At 31.2% G+C, this 26,143-nt stretch overlaps 1 long non-coding RNA gene across 1 annotated transcript; it reads right to left on the bottom strand.

Moving 5' to 3' along the window:
* Nucleotides 1–67: 67 nt before the first annotated feature.
* Nucleotides 68–24,918, bottom strand: LOC124903305 (uncharacterized). Its single transcript, XR_007064134.1, has 2 exons — nt 24,812–24,918; nt 68–8,338 (listed from the first exon to the last, which is right to left on the bottom strand). It is a non-coding gene; the product is annotated as an uncharacterized LOC124903305 (long non-coding RNA).
* Nucleotides 24,919–26,143: the final 1,225 nt, after the last annotated feature.

Raw genomic sequence — 26,143 nt, 5'->3', positions numbered from 1 at the left:
CAGAAGTTAAATGTAATTCAACTCTACATTGGCTTTACAGATGAAAAATTGCCTTAAAAATAGTAACTTGCTCACTTATGTCAATTTTATTTCAATAAGAAATTTCAAAGGCATGAGGACACAAAGACTCAATGTTGCAGGTAACATTTTTTGAAACATCACTTTGAAGTACATAAGACCATTTAAACACAAAAAGTAATATATCTTTCCAACATTTTAGGGCGGGGTATAAAGCCATGAAAATTTTTCTATCTCAACATTCTAGATATCCTTAGTTATTTGCCATAACAATAAAAAAACTTATTATTTTGCCATTTACCCAATCAGCACAACTGTAATATTACAATTGGAAGGAATTTTATACCATCAGTTTTTTCCTAACCATCTATTTAAATCAAAATTTCCTCAATTTTTCACTATATAAACATCGAACTTTTTCACTACATTAATATCATCGATTGTTTATATTTACCTTTAGTGAAAAGGATTAGAATTTTTTAGAATTCCCTTGAAAAGAAGTGTTTTGAAAGGATTTTATAAATTAAATACTGAAAGTAAAACTTGTTTTGCAGTGTATAGAGTGGTTCTAATGTTAAGAATGAACACCAAATGACAATGACTTGGGGATACAAAATTCTTATATAATACAGAATTCTAGTTTTTATAACTGATATAAAAGTGTAAATATTAATGCAAATTTACATCTGTAAGACAATAATAGTCTCCCTAACCTAAACACACTACCTTTACTATTCCTTAGATTAATCACAGTCTTATTTCTAAGGTAAAATCATTTTTTAGTTTTTATTGATTAATTACTGATGCGATGTTTTTCTTTATATGGGACTGAGTCTACTGCACATTTTACAACATATGTTAAATAATGTATGATTTATACATATATTTCACAGTTTAATAGTGTAACTGAGAAAATGAAGGGAAATGTTGTCCTCAAATCAAATAGAAGTGATTTTTTAAAAAGTGATTGAAACAAAGAGGCATAATTCAATGAGGAGTTTAAGGTGATTTCATTATAGCTATCACTCTTTAAAATGGAAGAGAGAAAACTAGATTATAAGATTTTATCTTCAAAAGCATTAAGATTCCACTTGACAAGTTATACTTGAAATTTACTTAAAATCACCTGTGACTTAATGGGTTGCCAGTTGCTTCCACAATAAATTGTTCTTAAAATTGATGAGATTGTGTTGAATAACAACATGCATATAGTTAACACTACCGTAATGTACTTACTTAACAGTTTTCAAGACAATAAAGTTTATATGATTTTAAGCACAATTTTAAAACTTGTATGAGATTTCAATGTTTGAAAATGATTTTAAAGACAGGAACAGTGTAAGAATCTAAGATTAGCCCAATCAAATAAATAAATTCTAGATTAGGGTTAATAATATATTGTTTAATGAACGTAATTACTACACTATCTTAAGAAACACTTACAAATGTAAATATAACCTATAAAGTCAATAAGAAGTGTTGTCAATTTTAATGATTTACTTAAAAAACACACACTCTGGTTTGATTTGAGCTTTGTATTTTATGACATGAAACATGGAATATTTTAAAGAAAAGGAGTGTTACATTATAAACAGGACTAAAAATGCTAATGAACACTAATAGAAATATGTAAAGTCTTTAAACAAATCATAGCTTATTTAAAGATTAAACAATACCAAAATCTTTTTTTATTATTTTTATAGCACCAGGACCCAAACACTGACTATATTTATTTTGTTGTTTAACTGTATTCACTTTTTTTCATATATTGCTCTTATAAGCAGCAAATGTCTTAAAATTATTAGTTGAAATAATGTTTCTATAGCATGTTTAGAGTGTTCTGGGTGGAAAAATACATCCGCTAATAACGACAGTGTGCTGTTTTTGTCTCTTAATTTATTTTTCTTGGTTTCGTACACAGGCTGGAACTTCTAGTACAAAGTTTATTACATGAAACAGCAGTGGGTATCTATCTGTGTGTTTGCATGTGAGGTTTCTCTTTAAAGAACATATCTGTTTAGGTTTTTGTAATGTCAATATTCACAGTTGAAATTGATCTGTAATTTTCTTCAGGTATAGTCTTCTCAGATATTGTTATTAATATTTTCAATATTGATACATAATAATTGTACATATTTATTGGGTACATGGAAATATTTTGATACATGCGTGCAATGTGTAATTATCAAATCAGGGTAATTAGGATATCCACCAACTCAAACATGTATTGTGTCTCTGTGTTGAAAACATTTTAAATCTTTTAGGTATTTTTAAAATACGCAGTAAATTATTGTTAACTATAGTCATCCTATTGTGCTATTGGACACTAGAATTTATTCCTTCTATCCCACCTGTATTTTTGTACCTAATAACAGACCTCAGTGTTACCCTTTTGCTCATCTTCACCAGCATCTCTTAGTCATTGTCTTTCTAATAATGGCCATTTTAACTGGGGTCTGATGGTATCTCATTGTGGTTTTGACTTGCATTTTCCTAATAATTAGTGATATTGAGTATTTTTTCAGATAGCTGTTGGCTATTTTATGTGTTCTTTTGAGAAATATCTATTCAGATCATTGATCCATTTTAAATTGGATTATATGATTTTTTGCTATCAAGATTTTTGTTCCTGATATATTTCATTTATTAATCCTTTATCAGATGGATAGTTTGCAAATATTTTCTTCATTCTGTAGGCCGTCTCTTCACTTTGCTGATTATTTCCTTCGCTGTGTAGAAGCTTTTTAGCTTGATGTAATCCCATTTGTACATTTTTGCTTGTGCTGCCTATGCTTTTGAGGCCTTACTCAAAAATCTTTGCCCAGACCAATGTCCTGTAGTGTTTTCCCCAATGTTTTCTTCTGGTAGTTTCATAGATTCAGATCTTACATTTAAGTCTTCAATGCATTTTGAGTTGATTTTTGTATACAGTGAGAGATTATTGCTAAATTATAAAAATCAGTGAGTTAATTCCATCTTGTTCCATCATTTGAAACAATTTGCATAATATTGATGATTCATTTCCTGAAAATTTGATAGAATTTTCCTAAAAACTGACGTGTGGTTCATGTGTGAAAATAATTACAGGTCTATTTTCTTTTTGTTATACTTCTTGTGTCAGTATAGATAATTGTATTTTGTGAAAGTTGTCTTGAATTAAAATTTCTACTTTAAGAACATATAATTTATTTATAGTATTAATTCGTGACATTTTAAATTTCATATACATATAAAATTTGTAACGTTCCTCATACTTATTGATCAGTCATACCAGAGGAGTATTTTTTGGTTGAATTACATTTACAAAGAAAACGTTTTCTTGTCACTAATATCTTTGACTTTTTACCTTTATTAAATTCAAAATTTACATATAATAGTCACCTTACAAAGCTTTCTATCAATTTCTCTTGTTCTTTATGAGATTTAAAGTTGTGCACATTAATATCCATTTTTTCTTCCTTTCTAATATATAAATATATGCTAAAAGTTTTCTTCTAAATGCTATTTTAACTGAATTTTAGGGATACAGCAATACTGTGTTTTTGTATTCATGTGACTAATTTGTCATATTCATTTTAATGAATTATTTTGCAGTAATTTTTAAATTTCAGAAAGTAAGGTGCTGAGTCTTATATCTTCATTATTGAGTTGTAATAATTGTATGTGATTACAGATTCATTTGCTAAGACCCTGCTGAGATTTCTTCTGTTGCTTAATACATGGTCAATATTTCTAAGTATTCCATGAATGGCTTTAAAAAGTGTTTCTTCATATGTTATTTAAGTCAAATTTGCTAAATATGTTAATTACAATGTTTCATATCATTGCTTATTTTTGTCTATTCTATTTATCTATTGTGCAAATTACACATTAAAATCTCCAATGTGATTGTGAAGCTTTTGTTGTCTACTTGTTAATGTTAAAATGTTTGCTTTATAAATTTAGTAGTTTGTTTCTAGAGATATAAAGATTTAAAGTGGCTTTTTTTTCCTGTGGAACCACAGAAATAATATCAGTAATTTTCCTTTTTATTACCAATTTGAGCATATATATGCATATACACTGGTTAGTATGTAAATATATTTACATGCAAATATGTGTGTATATATAACTTTATAGTCAATATTTTAATTCTCCTCTCCATTCTTTATTTCTAAGCATATATAGTAAATAATATGCAGTGATATATATTATAATTATATATTATTAAAAGCATGTACTATTATACATACATATATACATACATTGATAATTTCTAGTAACTTTGTTTCAACTTTGAATTTTATATACCTATTAATTGTTTTCCTTTTCAGCTTGCTAGTTTATTTATCATGTTCACTTCATTTTCTATTATTTCCTCTTATATTTTTGGCAATTAGGTTTACATTTACACAAATACTTAGACAGTAGAAATTTCTTTCTTTTTATTTGTTTGTTTGTTTTTAGAGACTGGGTCTACCTCTGTTGCCCAGGCTGGAGTATAGTGGCACAGTTAGAGCTCACTGTAATCTCGAGTGCCTACGCTCAGGCAATCCTCTCACCTCAACCTCCCAAACCCTGGTATTACAGGTGTGAGCCACTGCACTCAGACGTGGAAGTTTCTTAATCGCTGTCTCTACTAGCCTCTTTCTGAATAATATTAAGATAGAATGTTGTAATTTTCATTAACCCAAGCCTATCTTGTTATTATATCTATATATTCTCAATTGGTAACTATCATCATTACTATTTTTCATAGTTTATGATTGTTCAGATTTACTCATATACCTACCAATTACACTGTGTAATGTTTCTTCTAGCTTTCTCTCAACTGGATTTGATTTCACTTTCATGAGTGAGTGACAGAATATTTTTTCCTGAAAAAAAGAAACTGTTTTTGCCCTTATTCTCACATTATAGTTGAATGGGATATAGAAATCGGGTTGACTTTTTTTACTGATGGATTTGATGATATTATTCTATTGTGTTTGGCCTACATTTGAGGTTAAGATACCTAAATATATATCTGATAAATGTTCTTTTGTTGAAAATTTAGTGAGCTTTTTTCTCCTTTTATGGTTATCTTTTTGCAAATATTGTTCTGTAGTTTTACTAAATGTGTAAAAGTATGAGTTTATTTATTTATTTATTTTTCTTTAAGGCCATTTTGTCTTTCCCAAGATTTTGTGCTTGCCTTAGCCAGAAGCTGACATGACAATAGCATCCTGGTACCATTTTTAATATTTTCTTCACTTGAAAATTTTCTACCCACAAGGATTCTGAAACACAGTTTTCAGTTTCTCAGGAAACTCCACCCCACGCCTCATAAACTATCCCTCAAACCAGGAAGAAACAAGGTTATTTTTTCTTTTGCCTGTAACGCACAGGGAGGCATTTTCTGGTTCTTCCTTTCATGCTGATGTAGCCTTTCAAGCATTATGGTTCATGCAGTTTCATTTGTTGCTCTGAGTTTGGTTCAGACTCAAAGTCTTTTAACCTGTGATTGTATGTCTGTGAGCACCAAGTTTTTACAGAACATCGTCTCATATTTATTCCACCACCTCTTCCAAAGCAGTTTGAGGTTGCAGTCTCAACAGTGGCTCCTGTGTTTAACATTTTATTTTTATTTTTTTATTTCTGCCAACTTTACATTTTCTAATTATTGTTGTTATTAGTGTGAATAATTATATTAATTGTTATATTTAAGGAAGCCTAGGTCTTTTAGCTGAAGGGCGTGTAGATTTTCTTAGTCCTCTATTTTTTCCAGGATCAAGAATACATATTTATTGATTAAAATCTTTTATAAGTAATAAATAAATCCGAGATCATTTCACTTTAAAGCTGTTTATGTCATTACTCAAAATACTATCTTTTTAATAAAATAAAATTTATGAAGATACATTAAAACATATGTTCTACTAATTTGATGTATTACTAAAAAGGCATATGATTTACATTTAACTTATAGAACAGAAATATATATGAGTAATGCAAAAATCATTATAATCATAATGAATAAACTTTTTAACTTTGCTAAAATAATTGTTATTATAGATTATGCTCCTTTGGCTGTCATAGATCGTTTCACCAGAATCAAATGATACTTTGACTTGTTTTGACAGGAATATTAAAATTCTGGATGTCTCACGGTCTCTGATGGCTACATAATTCAGTTAATTAATTTGACTAAACCCAAACACATTGGTTGTATCACTGCTCCATTTCTTCAGTATATTGACTTTCCAATTAATTGAATATTCTCACTTTATTTTAGTAGTACGATATAATGCTATTAATAATAGTTAACATCCTATATTTGAGCACTTAAAAAGATTAGGGATTATAATTGAGCACTTAATAATGGTTTGGCACTTCTATTGTTATTAACTTACTTCTATTTCTCAAGACACCTCAGAATTTTTTTTTGTTAATAACTCTATTTGATAAATGAGGAAACAGAGGTAAAGAAAGCTTAACTATCTTGCTAAGGGCACACAGATAAGTGGTAAGATGGGTTTGCAAATTCAGACATGTTGGGCTCCAGAGACAGGACCTTAACCACCATTCACTGCTCTGCAACTGAGAGAGACCCTTGTAGAAATTACCTTGCAATTCAAGTTGAGTGATCATTAAGTTAGAGAGAACACAGGAAAAAAATAGCAAAAATTATACCCTTTTCATTTTTAAGAGTTTCCCTTAAATTTAATAAGAAATACACAGATTTATAAGACAAAAATTATAAATCTTAACTCAGAGACAAAAGAGAAGACTTGAACAAATCACATCATATTCTTGGATAGTAAGATTTAAATGTATAGATCCTCTTTCTCCCTCAAATCTTTTATTAGTTCATGAAGAACAATATGAGATAATTTTAACAAATACAAGTGGAAAACAAGAGTTCTACAAGAATGTACTTTAGTACATATATTGTATAGTTAAATAATGTGGCTTATTAATAGAAAAATTGATGTAGTATCAGTCAAGTTGATATGATAGATTGTGTTGGAACACTGTGTGTGTTTGTATGCCCGTGTGTATACAGAATGTACTTTCTAAAGGATGATAAAGAAAATCTATAAAGAATATAGGCATTATTCAACAATTAGTGCAAATAAAAATTTTAAAAACTTTAAATATTAAAAATCTATTCTAGCATATATCATATAACAAAGATATACTTCAGACGTAGTAGAAATTTAAAACAACAAATAAATTCCAAATAGTATAACAATTTAAAGGAAACATTAGCTAATATTTATTATCAAAATAGTGAAGAACTTTCTAAGCATAAAAACAACTACAAAAAAAAAAAAAAACAGAAAAGAATCACCCAGAAAATAAAGTATGTATTTAACTACATATAAATTAAAACTCCAATATTTGCAAATATTATATGAAACTTGATAAATGAGAAGCTTGGAAAAGATGTCAGTATATATAAGGATGAGTTACTGATATGTTTAACAGTCCTTAATGGATAATAATTGATGTCTTTATAAAAATATGGTACTATGTATAGGAACCAACAAACATGTAAAAAATGACTAAACTGTAGCACTCAAGGATTTACCTATATAATTATGACATATTTTCAAGACTAGAAGTTGATGAGACTTTCTTTTCTTTAATGATAATTCCCCATGTTAGTGACAGTGTTTAGAGAGATAGGCACTTCCAAGCAATGCTGGTGGTGAGACAACTTAATCCAACATTTCTCAATGTCATATTGTTGATATGCACTAAAGCTTTCAAAATAGTAATATCCTTCTATGACTAGAAAGAGTTGTAAGAATTTCTCATAGTTGCATTTATACCACACAGAAAAAGAAAAAAAAAACCTTAATATAATAGACAGGAATACAGTTTGATTAATTATAAGGCACTTATGTTTCAAAAAATTGATTTTATGTAACTTTTTATATTTTCAGGGTATTTAAAAGCAGAAAATGATAATTATGATTTATTTATCTGAGAGGTGAACAGGGTACTATATTATGTGCAGTAAAAAGAAAAATTCATTTATATTATATATATATATAATATTTTTGAAAGTGATAAACATTTATTCTGTGGTTTTCACAGCATCAGGAAGGGAGGGGGAAAACTGGAGAGGGCCTGCGTGGGTGCTGTAGGGACTCCTGAAGGCTTCTTTCTGGTGGCTGGAGGGCATAGGTTGGGGAAGTAATCAAGTTAAAGTGTTGTCCTGGAAGTTCTGCAGGTTGAGAATGGCTCTCAGGTGACAAGGTTTAGGAAAGGCCCAGATGGTGGTGGAGTAGAGGTGCTTCCTTCAGCCAGGCCAAGCAGAGCAAAGGGCACAGAGCAGATACAGGAATGCAGACTGCAATCAAGAATGAAAAGGGTCACTTAGCCCAGTTTGGCTTAAAGGGCACTGGGCTTTTTCCCCACCAGCTGCACCTTCAGCACACTGTAGATGGGCAGCACATGTCAGATGTTCAACTCAGAAGTCACTGTTCATGACAATCTTGATTTCAGTAAGTGTCTTGTTCATAATAGAATTTGTAACAGCAAGTTTGGAAGGTCAGGAAGCCTTCCCTTATGTGTAACAGGGACATCTTGCTGAAAAATGAGAGAATAGAAAAGAGCATCCCATAAATTAGCCGCACCTGTACATCACCTCCTTGGGATCTCCAATTGTTCCCTGAAGTGCCATTGCTTATAGCGCAGACACACTTGATTCCAGAAGGCCAAACAGGTTAAACAGGTACAGGTTGTGGACAGTGATTTGAACTGCTCCTAATTGCTCCTAATGCCTATCACTAGCCACTTCTGGTATATGTATATACATGTATACTCACCCACCCAGACATACGTGTCTATATACATATATATGATGATTTGTGTGTGTTTGGGACTCAAACACCCAAGTTTTGTTTATGACATTAATGCTCACAGAGTGACCTGGGCTCTTTCTTAATTGAGCTGAGCTCCCGTTTTGTCATCTATAAAATAACAATAATCAAACCTAACTCCAATGTTGGTAAATTAAATAGAAGTCTACATAAAAAACACCTAGTAAGTCCCCAATGCATTTTTCATAACTACATGAAGTTATATTAAAACTAATTTTGAAATAAAATGACTGCTTATTGTGACAAATTGTTTTTTAAAAATTAGATTCTTCACACATTACATTTACTAGTCAAATAGCGTAGTGTCATTGTTCTAATACTATTTTGTCTTGGAGATAGTATATTAATTTTAGTAACAGGGGATATGGATTGAGAGTGACAGGGTATAGTGAAAGATTTGGAGTTTGAATTGTGCTTCTGAGACTTGTGAGCTGGGCATCCTGGGACAGTTATTTAGGCTGTTAAAACTTTCATTCACCTTTTTAAAATATGATAACATTTATATCTAACTTATAGGGTTTTTATAAGAGTGTGATTCATTAATGAACTTAAAGTGACAGAAATTGTGCCTTCCATATAGCGAGTATTAAATTTTAAATAAATTTATTATTAGTGGTACAATTTCCTCTATTAGTTGTAGTAGAACTAGTAGCAGAAAGCATAGTACTGTTTTATTTTAATAATATCATGCTCATCTTTGGATGATGTTACCTGTTTGCTGTGTTATAGATTTCTTACATATTTTTCAGAGTTATTCTATAGCATTAATATAACAAGCTACCTGTAAGAAAAAAGGCTGCCAGGGCTTAAGGTACATGTTTGGTACTTTCTTAGATTTGCACCTGTATTTAGAGATAATTAAGTAAAATTATTACCAAGTGTGTAGAATTGTATTTATAAGTATAATGATGAAGATTTTCATTGGATAGATTAATTATTTAATTTAATCAAGAGCCTAGTAAAGTTACTTAAAATGAAATTGTCTGGTATTATGTCATATAAGTAAATTAAGAGCATTATCGTAGTTGATTTTTTTCAGTTGGTCTTTAGGCACATGCCTGATTAATGTAAGTTAAGTATTTAAGGAGAAAAGCTATTGTGATTATTTTAAAAATCTACAAACAAATAATATTATCTCGTTATGATTTTTTCAATGTTTGAAATATTCCCCTCATATTTTTATTTATCCAACAAATATTTATTATCAACTTTGTGTTATGCACACATTTATATCAGTTTTTAATCATGTGTTTAGTAAATTATATGCCCTGTTTTGACCATGTAGTTGTCACAAGTTCTCTATATGAGAAAATATGTATGCTTTATTTAAAAGTAAAGTAAGTAATTGACCATGAGGCTTTTTCTTTCCTCTTGACTTTTAAGTTAGTAACTTTGAATTCTTAAACCATTTCAGACACTTTTATGGTAGTGAGATTTTGCATTTGGACTTCAATTTGAAGTTCATTCAATCTGAAAGCCATTCTCTAAGAGATCCACAAAAGGTCTTGTACATGGATGTCTACTTTCCCCATCCCTTCAGTCTTGGGCTAATTATAAGCAGATTAATACTTCTAAATTAACATAACAGCTCTTTGCCTGAACTGATTGCTTAATATTTGGTGACCAATGAGAAGGTTAAGTTCAATTAAATCTACCACTGGGATCTAATCTATGTACAAGTGATGTTAGATGTAATTAAAAAGTCTTTATAAGGCCAAGTAAATTTGAGTAAAACTTTTACTGAGTTTGCCGGGCACTTTCATATCTCAAAAGCAAACTTCATAATTATTTGTTTAGGAAAACTGAAGACATTCATCATGTACCTCCTAAGTGAGCTTAGTCTTCACGGAGATCACAGTGGCAACAGAATATGGCTTGATCTGTATTAGTTCCATCTTTGTTTTTTGAGACAATTAAAATAGTCTTAATCTTATGTAATGTTCTGTGAAAAACACAGCCTCCTGTCTGTGCTTTCAACAGATTGTAACCTTGGGTTCCCTCCCATAGAGAAATGTTTAATCTGCCAGAGAGCAGTGGCAAGATCGTTAGTGAGGTGCCATCTAGTGGGATTTGGGGGATTTTCCAAGGAGGAGAGAGCCTCTAAATTAAACTTGTCTACTTAATTTCTAATCAGGGCCATGAGTATCAGTGAGAATAAGTCTCAACACATCATAATAGGAATTAGATAAATGCATTATTTACAAGTGAAACAAACACAATATTATAGAATTATAATGTTAGAAATTATAGAAATTTAAATCTGTCTTCTAACCCACATCGTCAGCTATCTAATGCTGAATAAAGCTTTCCATCTGAGCTAGGAAAGATAGTGCTGTGTCAACTCCTCACAATGAATCTAGAATTTCTAAGTCTTATAAAGTGAAACATTCTATTTTTGAAGATGAAGCTTTCAGCTGTAATTTACTACTGAATACATTTATAGGTGATGCTTAAATAATTCAAGCTAAGTGAATTGGACCACACTTACAACTAAAATCAATTTGTATTTGCTCCATAAAATAGCTACTGCTCTCATTTACTTGAGTCTTAGATTGAAACCCAAAATACTACACCATAGTTTTTAAAGCTTTATAAATTATTTCATGCGGTGTCAGGCAAAGGTCATCAAAATATGGTGTAGTGGTTACACTGGAGAGTCAGAAGTCCTGAATTATATTCTCGACAACGTTAACAACTCCCTTTTTTTTGACTCTGTGGAAATAAGTCAGTTAACCAATAGCCAAAATAATTAGCTTTGAAATAGTCCAATGATATTACACTCAGGATTTTTAACTCAGAATTTTAACTTCAGCCTAACTTTAATCTTCTTCATTCTAAGGCACCACACTTTGGCCAAGTGCAGAAAAGAAAATGTAAGATTTAATAAAATTTAAAAATATAAAATATCCATTGCCATCTGACTGAGCACCAGAATCACCTGAAGACCCAGAGATGCATGTGAAATTCATCTCTATTTTAACTTTATAATGCCCTCCTTTTATTGCTTCCACCTCAAAGAATCCTGTACCATTATGCTATCGCCCTTTGGAAATTAATCACCATTCTTTACTCTCTTTCATACTGTGCTTAGTCTCCTGACTATTAAAAATTGACCATCTCTTATCAAAACATTAGTGTCATGTGTCATTTACTGAAAGCTGACTTAGATCTAAAAATGCATCTCATTATCTTATCTTGTTCTTTTTCTTATTCACCAATTTTTCCATTTACGAAATTCTGACAAGTTTTCTACTCTCTACTTGCCCTTAGATTCAACTTTAAATTGGTAAATCTTTTCTATAGCTTCAGTCTTCGAAATCTTATTTAAGATAGCATCTCTTCCCACATCTACCTCTCTGGTCCCAGAATTTATATACTTAACTCCCTAGCTCCAATTTCCTGCCAGTCCTCTCTGCCTAAGGCCTTTATTATAGTTCAATTTGTTTAATTTTGACAGCCAAAATTTGATTTTCATTTATTTTTTGTAGATGACCTTTAAATATTGTTGTAACTGTTATTATTTAATGTACTATATTTCATATACTTCATCTATCTACTATGCTTATTTTTTGGATTATTGTTAAATTAGAATAAGTATTAACAATAGTAAAACAATTAATTATGAGGACCAAAACACTAACAGAGTTACAAAAGAGTCAACACCAAAAGAGAATCATATAGACAACTAAGAAACAGAGAATTAAGTAATATGTAATTAGATTAAGGTTAAATATCTTGAGATTAAAATTTGAAAATGTAGCTGAATATATAAACATAATTCAAGAATAGAGTAAATAGTATAATTTAAAAATGATTTTATAGGCATTAAGGGTGGCAAAAAGTAAAACTGTAGAATATTACATGAAGACCGCACCATGTAAAGAAATAGAATAAGAGTGGAAAAGATGAAAGACAACAAAAATACTAGTGATGGCACAAAATAGATATTTATCAGAATTTAAATCCTAGTACTCTGGGCAAAGATAAGAAGTCTGTCATATTTACGTACATTAAGTAATTGGATATTGATTAATTATCTAATATTTCATCTTGCTGCTAACTTCAAAGGATCCCTAGAAAGAAACTGCCCTGGAAAGATTACCATTGTTGTGAATTAAATACACAAATTTAATACACTAGATGCATTAAAATGTTGATTGATCAAGCATCTAGTTGCTTCTGGAATGCAACTTGTGGATGTATATTTTACAAAAATATAGAGCACTAAAATGTTACATAATAAAATTAGTATTGCTATAAAGACATTATGTATCTTTATTGATTCAAAAGAAAAATATTAGAATAATTTGACCATTTCAATGAACTAAAGAAAACAATTATAATTAAACGATTCCTGAATTTCTAATGAAGATTTGCTCTTTTTCTTTGCATCAAGTCTTATATTAATCACAATTCTGGCCACACTGAGATCTCAGGAAATTTGAAATGGTAAGAAACACAATTATAGTGACTTACTTGTTATTTTTTCATTTAGAAAACTTTATTGCTACTTCCATGTGTCCCTCTTGTAAGCTAACATTCAAAATAGTGTTAGAGGCACTATAATAAATATCTTTATAGATAAAATTAATTTTTGTCATTAGAGTTTAATTTACACGAATATTAAAATTATATAATTAAACAGAGCAACTACTTATTCTGACAAGTTACATCAATTTAGCATGAGTGATAATGTAAGTAAAAATGATAAGAAAATAAATGCATTCATTGCAAAGTTTAACAGTGTCTTTTCAGAAGAAAAATTTTGTAGTGTAGAAAAGGCCTCCAAACTGTAAATTAATATAAGATGAAATGGTATCACTAAGAACAGTGAAATTTAATAAAAATAATTTCTCATTTATTTGAAAATAAACATTTCATTTTAAATAATGAAAACATTTTTAAGGGAAATATTTAACTTCTTAGGTAATATAGTGAAGAAACTTTTAGCTGACTTTGTCAGAAACAAATAATCAATTTTCATGAAATATTTATTTCTTCCCTGCGTTTATATACCATTAGTCAATCCAAATAAGAAAGATAATTTAAAAATCACTCATGATGAAGACCAAATTCTTTTAACTGAATTTCCAACTTTCCAGATATTTTGACACCTTAGCAGGCCAGTCTTTCCCAGAACTTTATTCTCTGGACACCTACATTAGAATCATGTATGTGATGAGGTAGAGGATGTAAACTGTTGAGATACTCAAGATTGACACACAATTTGCTGAGGGAGTGGTAAAGGCCACGAACTGACTCATTTCTGAGATAATCCTGATGTCCAGTAAAGTTTGAGAAATGTTGTTTTAGAGAACATTTGATGTCATTAAAAATCCATTGAAAACACTCTTGATAAAAGGGTTTGCCTACACTGTACTATTCATTCTTAAATAAAGGAGAGTGGAGAAGGAAATAGAACCATTGGACCATAGAACTGGAATTTAGGGTGATCAAGTTTCATTGTTTCACAGAATCTGCCCAAAGAAGGATTAGAGTGTTCACTGACTACGTAAACAAGAAAAGTGATTTTTGAATCACAAGCCCAGGGATACAAATGGTACTTATTTGCCTCTAAATAATAATTATTACAATTTTTATTTTCTGTACCTTTGGAAATTATATTTTAAAGATAAAAATAAACAAAAATAGTATTCTAGTTTTTGAGTACTATTTATTCCAGCATTTGCCAGTGAGTCAATAGAAAAAACAGCAGAACACTATAAGGGTGCCAACAAGAAATTATTGGAAAAAAAAAACTATTATTGAGGTTCTAAAAATGAACTTAAATTTATCTACATTTCACATTAATTTATTTTTTACTGATTTTAAAGAAAGTAAAAAGCAAATCAAGACTAATAAAAGAAATAAATAAAAAGCATACGATGAAAAAAATCCACAAATAATAAAAAGTAAAGAAATGTATACAGCTGATTTTAGCTATTCACAATTGCTAAGGCAATATCAGTTAATTCACTTGACTTGCCCCTTTAGCTCAGTTAGGGCAGTCATCATAGAGAAGAGAGTGTTAAGCAATTTTGAAAGCATAATCTATAAAAGTGTTTGAATAAATTAATTATAGAGAAGATACTAGATAAGACTGTGTGTGATTACTCTTCAGTACATTCAGGATAGAAATTAAGTTTGTTTCCCATAGAAGAGCAAGAAAACAGTGGTTAAGCACCCAAGAATAAAGGTTTAAATTTAGTTTAATTTATATTCAGAGCTACATACATTTCCCCAGTCTCAAAGCTCTAATTTTCTATTGCTATCATTATAAAACTTAAAATTATGCATGGTTAAATGGAAATAACGCTTTATACTACTCACTTTTTCCATTAGTCTTGGTATTAATCACTATATTCTGAGACACCAAACTCAGAAACATGTAATAATTTATAATCACGTATTTCTCTTTATTTCTCACAGTGTATCCATTAAGCTTACTATTGTGCATATGTTATGTCTTATATTAAAGTTTCCTGTTACCATATTTATTTATTCCCATAAAAATATGCTCTTTTAGTCTAGGAACCAAATTTTCTATGAGGTGCATGACATTGACTTGATATGAACTCATGTTAGATATTCAAAAGTCACTTACTCTCTCCTCTAGATCACCTAAAAGACTAAGAAGCACAGAATTCTAACAAATAAGTGTTACATAAATATGAGTTTATTAAATATGAAAATGCAGGTTCTATTGATACTTTCTGTATCTTATTTCAGCTTTTCTTTGTTAGCTATTACCCTAATGTAATCATAGAAAGACTTGCACATTCTTATAGCTGACTCCAAATTTGCCATTCCTTGGTTCATTCTGTATACAGCTACAGTTACAATATATTTATATAGCAAATATATATAATCTGTCTTTCGTATTTGCAACAACAAACTAAGCACTGTAGGAGATCCAAAATTTAATAAGAAATAATGCCTAATATCAAAGGAACTTAAGATACATATGTCTTTAAATAACACAAGGGTACATGGAGTATAGAGCTCAGGAAAAGTAGTTTGAGTTGATGTGGTAAAATACTAAGAGTGGATTCAAAATGAAAATGTAGAATCTTGTGTTTCCATAATTAGAATTATGATTTGAGGATTTTATTAAACCTTACTCATTTTAAGTAGCACCATTGTATAAACGTTTTTTCATCTTTCTTGTTCAGTGGTCATTGGGTTGATTTGTACTGTTTCCAAAGAGTTGTGATCCTAAATGACATAACAATATTAATTCTTATGTAAATATATGGGTCCACACATTTAAATACCATATAGATACTAACATATGGGAGGTCTTTAGTCTGTTATCTCTGTATTCACAATAAAGAGTATCATACCCAGGCCATACTAAATGCTGAAAAAATAGTTAACAGAATTGAAAACGTTTGATAAAAAAAGTCATAAATTTTGTAATATTCCATTTAAAATACAATAAGCAGCTTTTAGGAATTGGAGATTCTTGAGGACATTTTGTAAGCCACTCCACTCAAAAATTCATTCAAAAAATGTTTCTAAATGTATTTAGTTAAATGTTTTATGTCTAAATTGTTAAATGTAATAACTTAAGACTTTTAATGCACCAAACTTATTAACTTGATCTGGAAAAATAATTTTGATCCACTCTATTGCTTTCATTTTTCTAGAACTTTGCATGTCTTAAATGCCCTAAGACTTATGAAATGCTATTTTATGTCATAATAGACACAGACAATGCTCCTTTTCCTTAAAAATAAACAACAATGAGAACACATGGACATAGGAAGGGGAACATCACACTCCGGGGACTGTTGTGGGGAGGGAGTAGGGGGGAGGGATTGCATTAGGAGATACACCTAATGCTAAATGACGAGTTAATGGGTGCAGTACACCAACATGACACATGTATACATATGTAACAAACCTGCACATTGTGCACATGTACCCTAAAACTTAAAGTATAATAATAATAAAATAAAAATAAAAAATAAACAACAACAAAAACAACAACAACAAAAACAGTTTAAAGTAACGTATCCATAGATACTTAGTGAGTCCCAATTGACCTGCATGTACGCTGCCACAACATAGAGTATTTATTGTTGACTTGTACATGAATTCACACATAAACTATTTTACTAAAGTTTGTGAATAATTTATGCATATAGATAATGCATTCTTTTGCAAAGGATTGAAGTTTAAACATTTTGTGATCATTTTTAATTTTTAGTCATCAAAGAGGCACTGTCATCATAGGAGCAAATAAACAATGGTTATTAACCTAGATAGAGAAAAATGTATTTACTGATAATTAGATTAGGTGGCATTTTGGAATTCTGCTTTGTTGGAGTAAGGTTCCAGAAGTTAGTAATATACTAATTATAGAAAGCCTGGTATATGGGTTAGTTAAGGACACACAGGTAAGTGATAGTTGCTAGGTCCTGGAACTGAATTTTAAATATGAAAAGAGGAATTAAAAAATCAGGGTCATTAAAAAATAAAAGAGGAGCCATTGATAGTTTGGGCAAGAAGTAAGTGAAACACATATGACAAATTTACGCCTAACAAATAAGGCTAGTGAACTCAAAGTAAATTCATTCATTTAACAATTATGACAATCAGATTTGTGATATTGAAAACATTTTAAGATGAAAACATTCTAAAATTCTATAAACAACCTTGTTCCCATCACGACCAAAATGTTTCTTCTTTCCATTACCAAGATACTTATCAAGAGAAAACAAAAACCGTATAGAGTGATATCAGCAGAGTCGTCAGTTCCAAGCTCTTGTTATTCCACAGAAATTGTCAGAACCAACTTTGACAGAACTCTGGTAAATAGTCAAAGATTTACCTCAACCATATGGATGCTAAATTAAGAAAACTGCAAATTAAGATGGTAGAAAGGCATTTGTGGCATTTTTACTTTCCTTGTCCATCTTTCACAAGTCTTAAAGCAGTAGCACCCTGTGTACCCAGTTCAGAATCCTGGTCCTTCATTCTGAAGAAAGTCAAATGGACCTTATTCACAAATTATTGCGTATGTCTGTTCTATTGTGTCTGGGGACTACCTGGAGAAATCGTGAAAAGCAGTCATCTCTGTTTTGGATCTCAGGCTAAAGAATCAGGTATTGCTCAAAAATGCAGCAAGGCAAACAAACAGATGCTTGAGGTAAAAGATTACAGTTGTGACATAAAGTAGACTGCTTAAGATCTAGGAAGAAATTCTTTGGAAAATCAGGATATTCAAAAGCACTTGTATATACAGGGGAATTTATAAAGCCAAGCACATGATCAAGGCAAGACACATGTTAATAAAGGAACAGAGAAAACTCTGTGTTTCCACCCTGAGCTGATGCCTAGGCTCAGTTCAAGTCTGGCTAAATGATGAAAATGCCACAGCACGGAGACAATCTCCAAATACTAAAGCTTTTTTCTTTTGTAATTATTTTCTAATATTTTATTTGCTATGTTTTGTATTTTTGCTTTGTTTTATCTTTATTTTAGCTCCTAGAGTTCAAGGAAATATCTGTTAAAACATTAGTCAGACATTAGCTGAATGAACAGATATTTTAATGGTCACAAAAAAACAAGAAAAAAGTTTTGGCAAGAATAGCTTGCAAAAGTAACTAAACAAATAGACTAGCACAGACTTCAACAATTGAAAATATAGCAAACTTTAGGGAAGGAATAAAGTTTGATTTCCAGATTCACTATATTATAATATGTAAATGTCCAATTTTCAACAAAAATCAACAAGATGTATAAAGTAATAAGAATGAGTAAAAAGGAAAAAAAGTAAATTGAAATAAACCGTATCAGAGGAAGCCAGGCATCACACATACTGGAAAAGTATTTTTAAAAAACTGTTTAAATATGTTTAAAAAGCTAAGGGAAAACATAGAGAACTACAAAAAACATAAACAAAAAAGGATATATGAAAAAATTATGGTATCAGTAAAAACAGAAATTATAACAGAGAATACAACAGAAGTTATTGAAGTAAAATTATAGCAACTGAAATAAAAAATCACCAGAGGTGTTCAACAACAGATTTGATCAGGCAGAGGAAAAACAGCATGGACTTAAACATAAGACAGATTAAGTTACTAGGTTTAAAAAAGAAAAAAATAAAGAGGAAAAGTGAACAGAACATAAAAGCCCTCTAGAAAACCATCAAGTGGATTAACACATGCATTATCTAAGTCCCAGAGAAGACAGAGAAAAGGGGGTTGAAATAATATTTAAAGAATATTCAACTTCTCAAACTTACCAATTTTAATGAAATACATGAATCTAAAAGTCTAAAAAGCTCAACAAACTTCAAGGTGGAAAAATTCAATTATACCCACATTTAGACACATTTCACACACTGAAAACCAAAGGCAAAGAGAGGATCTTGAAAGCAACGAGAGAAGAAACTTGTCACTAACAAGGGATCTACAATAAGATTCATAGCCCAAATGTAATCAGAAAGTATGATGGTAAGAAGGCAAGGGAATAGCAAAAAATGTTGAAATTCTTTTATCATAAAAGAATCTTACTTGATTTTAAAAAGTCAACCAAAAATTCTATATCCAGCAAAATTGTACTTAAAACTAAGAGAGGTATTCAGAAATTCTCAGATAAAAAAAAAAAAAGAGGATGGAAGACTGTTTTACCATCAGATCTGGCCTAGAGGAAAAGCTAAAGAGAATCCCTCCAATTGAAATGAAAGGACACTTTACAGTATTTCAAAATCATGTAAGTAAAGGTCTTAGTAAAGATAAATACACAGAACTATAAAAAACTAACATTACTTTATTTTTGGTTTGTCATTCTAATTTGTATTTCTTAAAAAATGTGTAAAACACAGTATTCTATGTACCCTAGAACTTAAAGTATAATTTAAAAAGTGTAAAACAGAAATGCATACAAATATTTATAAACTTATGTTATTGGATGCACAAGGTATGAAGCTGTAGCTTTTGATAATAACATAGAATGAAGGCTTATACTGTTTAGGAGTAGAAATTTTGTATGCTATAGAAGTTTAATCAGAGTCAATTCAAATTATGTTGTTATGCATTTAGTATGATAAATATAACTCCCATCATAAACACAAAGAAAATATTCATATAATATACATGGAAGAAATGAAAAGAGAGTAAAAATGATTCATCATCAAAAATTAACTAAATACAAAAGAAGGCAATAATGAAGGAAATAAGGGACAAACAAGGTATAAGACATACAAGAAAACACATAGCAAAATGAGAGAAGTAAATATTTCCTTATCAGTAATTATTTCAAATGTAAATTAAATTAATTAAATTCCCCAATCAGAAAAACAGAGATTGAAGACATCATGAAAACAGAATGTAAAATACCTAGTTAACATTTTATATTTGAACATAAATGTAAAATTTGAGTTTTGAATCTCAACACTATTAATGTTTCTCTGTCCTGCTTACTGATAGCTGCAATGATAGAAGATATAACTTACTAAAAAGTCCTAATTAAAAAGTATTTTTTCATAATTTGGTGATTACATAAACTCTATTGGTATTCAAGGACTCTTGAAAGCAGAGGTCCTGGATATGTCATTGTTTATTTTTTTTTCCTCTTTCATGTTTTCTGAGGTTGCTTATTGACATCAATGTACTGAGACATCTTATGATTTATCCCAAGACATCTTATCCTAAGACATCTTATCATTTATCCTAAGACATCTTATCATTTATCCTAAGACATCTTATGTCTATCCCAAGACATCTTATGATTGACCAGGGAATGGAAGACCAAGTCCTTCTAGTTTTCACCAAAGAGAATATGACCATGTGGAAAAATGCCAAATATAAACAATATTGTGTGGAATTTTTTCAAGAGTAAAAAAATCAAACAAATAAAAAAATCCAGTGATTGGTAGAATTGGTAAGAAAAATCACCCAATAATATGCTGACACAAATATTGTGTCCAAAAACATAAATATATAAAAGGGTCACTTCATCAAGAAATATAACAATTGTAAACTCATATACAACAACAAATATGAGCAAAATGAGCAAACATTGACATAATCAAAGGTACAAACAGACAATTCTACAGTAATGGTTGGAGACTTCAGCACACCACAATCAATAATAGATAGAACTGACCTTAAAGAATCAAAAAGAATTATAAGAAAATATTACAAATCACTAGTAAATTAGATAGCCTAGATGAAATTCAGCAATTCTTAGAAACACAAAAATTACCTAACCGACTCAAGAGAAAATAGAAAATCTCAGCAGGACTATAACAACAAATACATTGAATTACAATCCAAAACCTTTGAAAAAAGACATGCTAGGACCAGATGGCTTCACTGGGGAGTTCTACCAAACTCTTAAAGAGAATTGTTATCAGTTCTTCTCAGACTCTTTAAGAAAATGAACAGAAGAGAGGACACAGTCCTTAACCCATTCTATGGGGCCAAAATAGTCCTGATACCAAAGCTAGATGAAGATATCACATGAAAATAAAACTGCACCAATACCTATTTTATACATATACATAAACATTTATTATATATATTATATATATAAATAAAACTGCACCAATAGTCATTATATATGTATGTATATTATATATTATATATATAAATGAAAAAGCTATATATATACTAATCTACAAAAGAACACTAGCAAAAGAAGTGCAACAGTATAGTGAAAGGATAATAACAATGGCCAAGTAAGATTCATCCCAAGAATGCTATGGTAATTACAGATCGAAAATCAATGAATACAATACAACACAATATAGTAAAGGAGGACAAAGCACATATGATAAATCAAAACCAATAGGCATTTGATAAAATCCAACACTCCTTTCTGATAAAAACGCTAGAAAACAACAACGAAAGGGAACTTCCTTAACATGACAAAGCTTATTTATGAAAAATCTACAGCTTACATCATACTCATCATGAAATATGAAAACGTTTAATATCGATAACAAGACAAGGATGTCAATTTTCACCACTGCTCTTAAACGTTCTACTGGAATTCTAGCCAGAGAAATTAGAAAAGAAAAGGAAATAAAAGGCATCCAAATTGGAAAGGAAGAAGCGAAGTGTCTCTATTCACAGATAACATGATCCTACATAGAGAAGTTCCCAAAGAATCGACAAAAAAGCTACTAGAGCTAATCAACACATTCAGCCATGTTAAAGGGTACAAGATCACATATAGAACCAACTGTGTTTCTAAACAGCAACAAAACCTTGTTGAAAAAAATTAAAATGACACAAATAAATGGAAAGACATCCAACATTCACAGATTGGAGGTTTTAATATTGTTGCCATGTTAATACCACCCAAAGCAATGTACAGGTTCAATACAATCTCTGTAAAAATTCCAACAGATTTATTGCCAAAATGAAAAATCTAAACTTCAAATGAATATGAAATTGCCAGGGGCTTTCACTAGACAAAACAATCTTGAAAAAGAACAAAGTTAGTGGACTCACAATTCCAGATTTCAAGACTTACAAAGCTACGGTAATCAAAACACTGTAATATAGACAAATAGACCAATGGGATACAATAGAGATCCAACAAATAAACCCAAACATCTTTGACCAATTGATTTTTGATGAGACTGCCAAATTAAATGAGAAAATAACAGCATCTTCAACAGATGAAGCTGAGACAACTGGATTTTCACATCCAAAAAAACAAAGTTCGAACTCTACCTCACACTATCTACAAAAATTTACTCTAAACAAATCAATTACCTAAAAATAATCACCATTGTCTTGTGCACTGAAACTATACAACCCTTAGAGGAAAACACAGGCGCCAATCTTCGTGACCTTGAATTGGGAAACAGGTTCTTAAAACGACACCAAAAGCACAAGAAACAAAAGCAAAAAATACAATCAGAATCATAAAAATTTTAAAAATTTAATCAAAGTATATTATTAAGAATGTAAAAAGACAATCTACAAAATGGGAAAAAATATTTGCTAATTATATATCTGATAAAGGACTGGTATCCTGAATATATAAACAACTACCAAAAGTCAACACAATTTTAAAACGGGCAAAAATGTTGAGTAGACATTTCTGCAAAGAATATATACAAATGATCAATAAGCACATAAAATAATGCTCAATATCATTCATTATTAGGAAAATGCAAATCAAAACCAAAAACCATAAAAAAATTAAAAAGTTGGAGAAATTGAAACCCTAACACCCTCACAAATTATTCGAAGAAATCTAAAAAGGTGCAGCTATGGTAGAAAACACACTGACACTTCCTCAAAAAAGTAACAAAAAACTCAAAATTAAAACTATCATATGACCTAGCAATTCCACTGCTAGATATATAACCAGAAGAACTGAAAACACACAGTCTCAAACAGATACCCGTACACTGATGTTCAATGCGGCATTGCAGCATTATTTGCAGTGGCCAAAGGTAGAAATAACGAAAGTTTCATCAAAAGATGATGGATAAACAAAATGTGATATATAAAATATCATTATACCATAAGAGGAGGTGAAGATCTGAGGCATACTTCAACATGGGTGAGCCTTGGAGACATTACAATAAGTGGAATAAATTAGACATCAGAGGGCAAATATTGTATGATTCCACTTACATGACATATCTAGAATTGGCATATCATAGAAAAAAGGTAGATCAGAGTCTATTAAAGATAGGGAGAGAGGAGGAATGAGTATTATTTGCTACATGGGTATAGAGTTTGTATTTAGGTCATAAAAAATCTTTAAGTGCTTTTTAAGAAATATTTAAAATAGAGGGTGATGATTGCACAGCATTGTAAGTGTAGTTTACACTATTGGCTTGTACAGTTAAAATGGTTAAAATGTCAAATTTTATGTTATATATTTTCCAAAGTAAAATCTTCTTTAAAAAAATTAGTGTAGATAGCCTCCCTATATAATTTTATATTAAATAAAATAATCAGGTGCTGGGGACTTTTACGTGGTACTATACTTTTACTTTTTTACTTTTACTCTTCTACACAAAAATTTATACCTCATTTGCATTTTTAGACAATTTCATATGTTTCAATACACACCAGTGCACATGATAATTAATTATTAGATCTATAAAAGTCTGTATGAATATATTTTGGAAACATAAAAGTAAAGAAATAAAACTTGAATAATTTTCTGGAACAAGTACAACAGAGTGATTGAATAAATAACCTGAGTTTATGAGTTTATTTTAGAAAAAATAAAAAAAGTGTCCTAAAACATTCCATATATAAGAAAAAGAATATTTTGTGATTTATCTGACAGTTAAAACTTGTATAGAAACTAGCCAGAGAGCTACAAAATTATACATAAAATAAAAAATAAGTTATTTGAGATTTATTTCCATGTGTTACTCCTTTCTAACAGTACTTTATTTCTACAAATTGTTAGAAATATTAGAACTCTTTAGTTCTAAAGATTATTCCAAATTTTAAAAATCATGATTTTAGATTTTCAAAAGAGGAACTTATAGTTTGCAGTCTACTTCCACACCTCATTCAGCTATAACTCTATTGCATTCAAAACACTTTTATTTGAAATTCTTGTGTTTGTTGTGCTTTACAGTATATACTATGCATTAGATGTGCCCTAAGATGTATGTATTTATACTTTCATATTTTTGGCAGCTAGACTACTTCCAAAATTACCCAGGAATGTAGAGTAACAGGAATGATTTAAATGGTTTCCAGTCTATGTCCATTAACATTAGCATTGAGACTTGTTATCATAGATTAGCTAATTCCTGTACCTTATAAATATGCTCAGCTAAAACAAATTTCTCCTGCTTATTTTTAAAATATAATTATGCCACTTTCTGTAGAACTTTATGTTTTTGTAGAACTCTATTTGTTAATGATTATTAATCTTATTTAGTTATGGGTATACACCTATGTTCTGTTAATCTCCTTAATATAAGAATTAAATACCATTTCAGAGGTGGCAGCCAAGATGGCTGCATAGGAACAGCTCCGGTCTACAGCTCCCAGGGTGAGCGACACAGAAGACGGGTGATTTCTGCATTTCCATCTGAGGTACCGGGTTCATCTCACTAGGGAGTGCCAGACAGTGGGCGCAGGTCAGTGGGAAGCGCAAGGGGTCAGGGAGTTCCCTTTCCTAGTCAAAGAAAAGGGTAACAGACCGCACCTGGAAAATCGGGTCACTCCCACCCTAATACTGCGCTTTTCCGACGGGCTTAAAAAACAGCGCACCAAGAGATTATATCTCCCACCTGGCTCGGAGGGTCCTACCCCACGGAGTCTCGCTGATTGCTAGCACAGCAGTCTGAGATCAAACTGCAAGCGGCAGCAAGGCTGGGGGAGGGGCGCCCACCATTGCCCAGGCTTGCTTAGGTAAACAAAGCACCTGGGAAGCTCAAACTGGGTGGAGCCCACCACAGCTCAAGGAGGCCTGCCTGCCTCTGTAGGCTCCACCTCTGGGGGCAGGGCACAGACTAACAAAAAGACAGCAGTAACCTCTGCAGATTTAAATGTCCCTGTCTGACAGAGTTGAAGAGAGCAGTGGTTCTCCCAGCACGCAGCTGGAGATCTGAGAATGGGCAGACTGCCTCCTCAACTGGGTGCCTGACCCCTGACACCTGACCCCAAGCAGCTTAACTGGGAGGCACCCCCCAGTAGAGGCAGACTGACACCTCACACGGCCGGGTACTCCTCTGAGACAAAACTTCCAGAGGAACGAGCAGACACCAGCATTCGCGGTTCATGAAAGTCCGCTCTTCTGCAGCCACCGCTGCTGGTACCCAGGCAAACAGGGTCTGGAGTGGACCTCTAGCAAACTCCAACAGACCTGCAGCTGAGGGTCCTGTCTGTTAGAAAGAAAACTAACAAACAAAAACAACATCCACACCAAAAACCCATCTGTACATCACCATCATCAAAGACCAAAAGTAGATAAAACCACAAAGATGGGGAAAAAACAGAGCAGAAAAACTGGAAACTCTAAAAAGCAGAGCACCTCTCCTTCTCCAAAGGAACGCAGTTGCTCATCAGCAATGGATCAAAGCTGGACGGATAATGACTTTGACGAGTTGAGAGAAGAAGGCTTCAGACGATCAAACTACTCCGAGCTACAGGAGGAAATTCAAACCAAAGGCAAAGAAGTTAAAAACTTTGAAAAAAATTTAGACGAATGTATAACTAGAATAACCAATACAGAGAAGTGCTTAAAGGAGCTGATGGAGCTGAAAGCTAAGGCTCGAGAACTACATGAAGAATGCAGAAGCCTCAGGAGCCGATGTGATC

Source organism: Homo sapiens, chromosome 14 (assembly GCF_000001405.40).
Source record: "Homo sapiens chromosome 14, GRCh38.p14 Primary Assembly".
NCBI classification, from domain to species: domain Eukaryota; kingdom Metazoa; phylum Chordata; class Mammalia; order Primates; family Hominidae; genus Homo; species Homo sapiens.
This window is presented reverse-complemented; position numbering and strand designations above follow the sequence as displayed.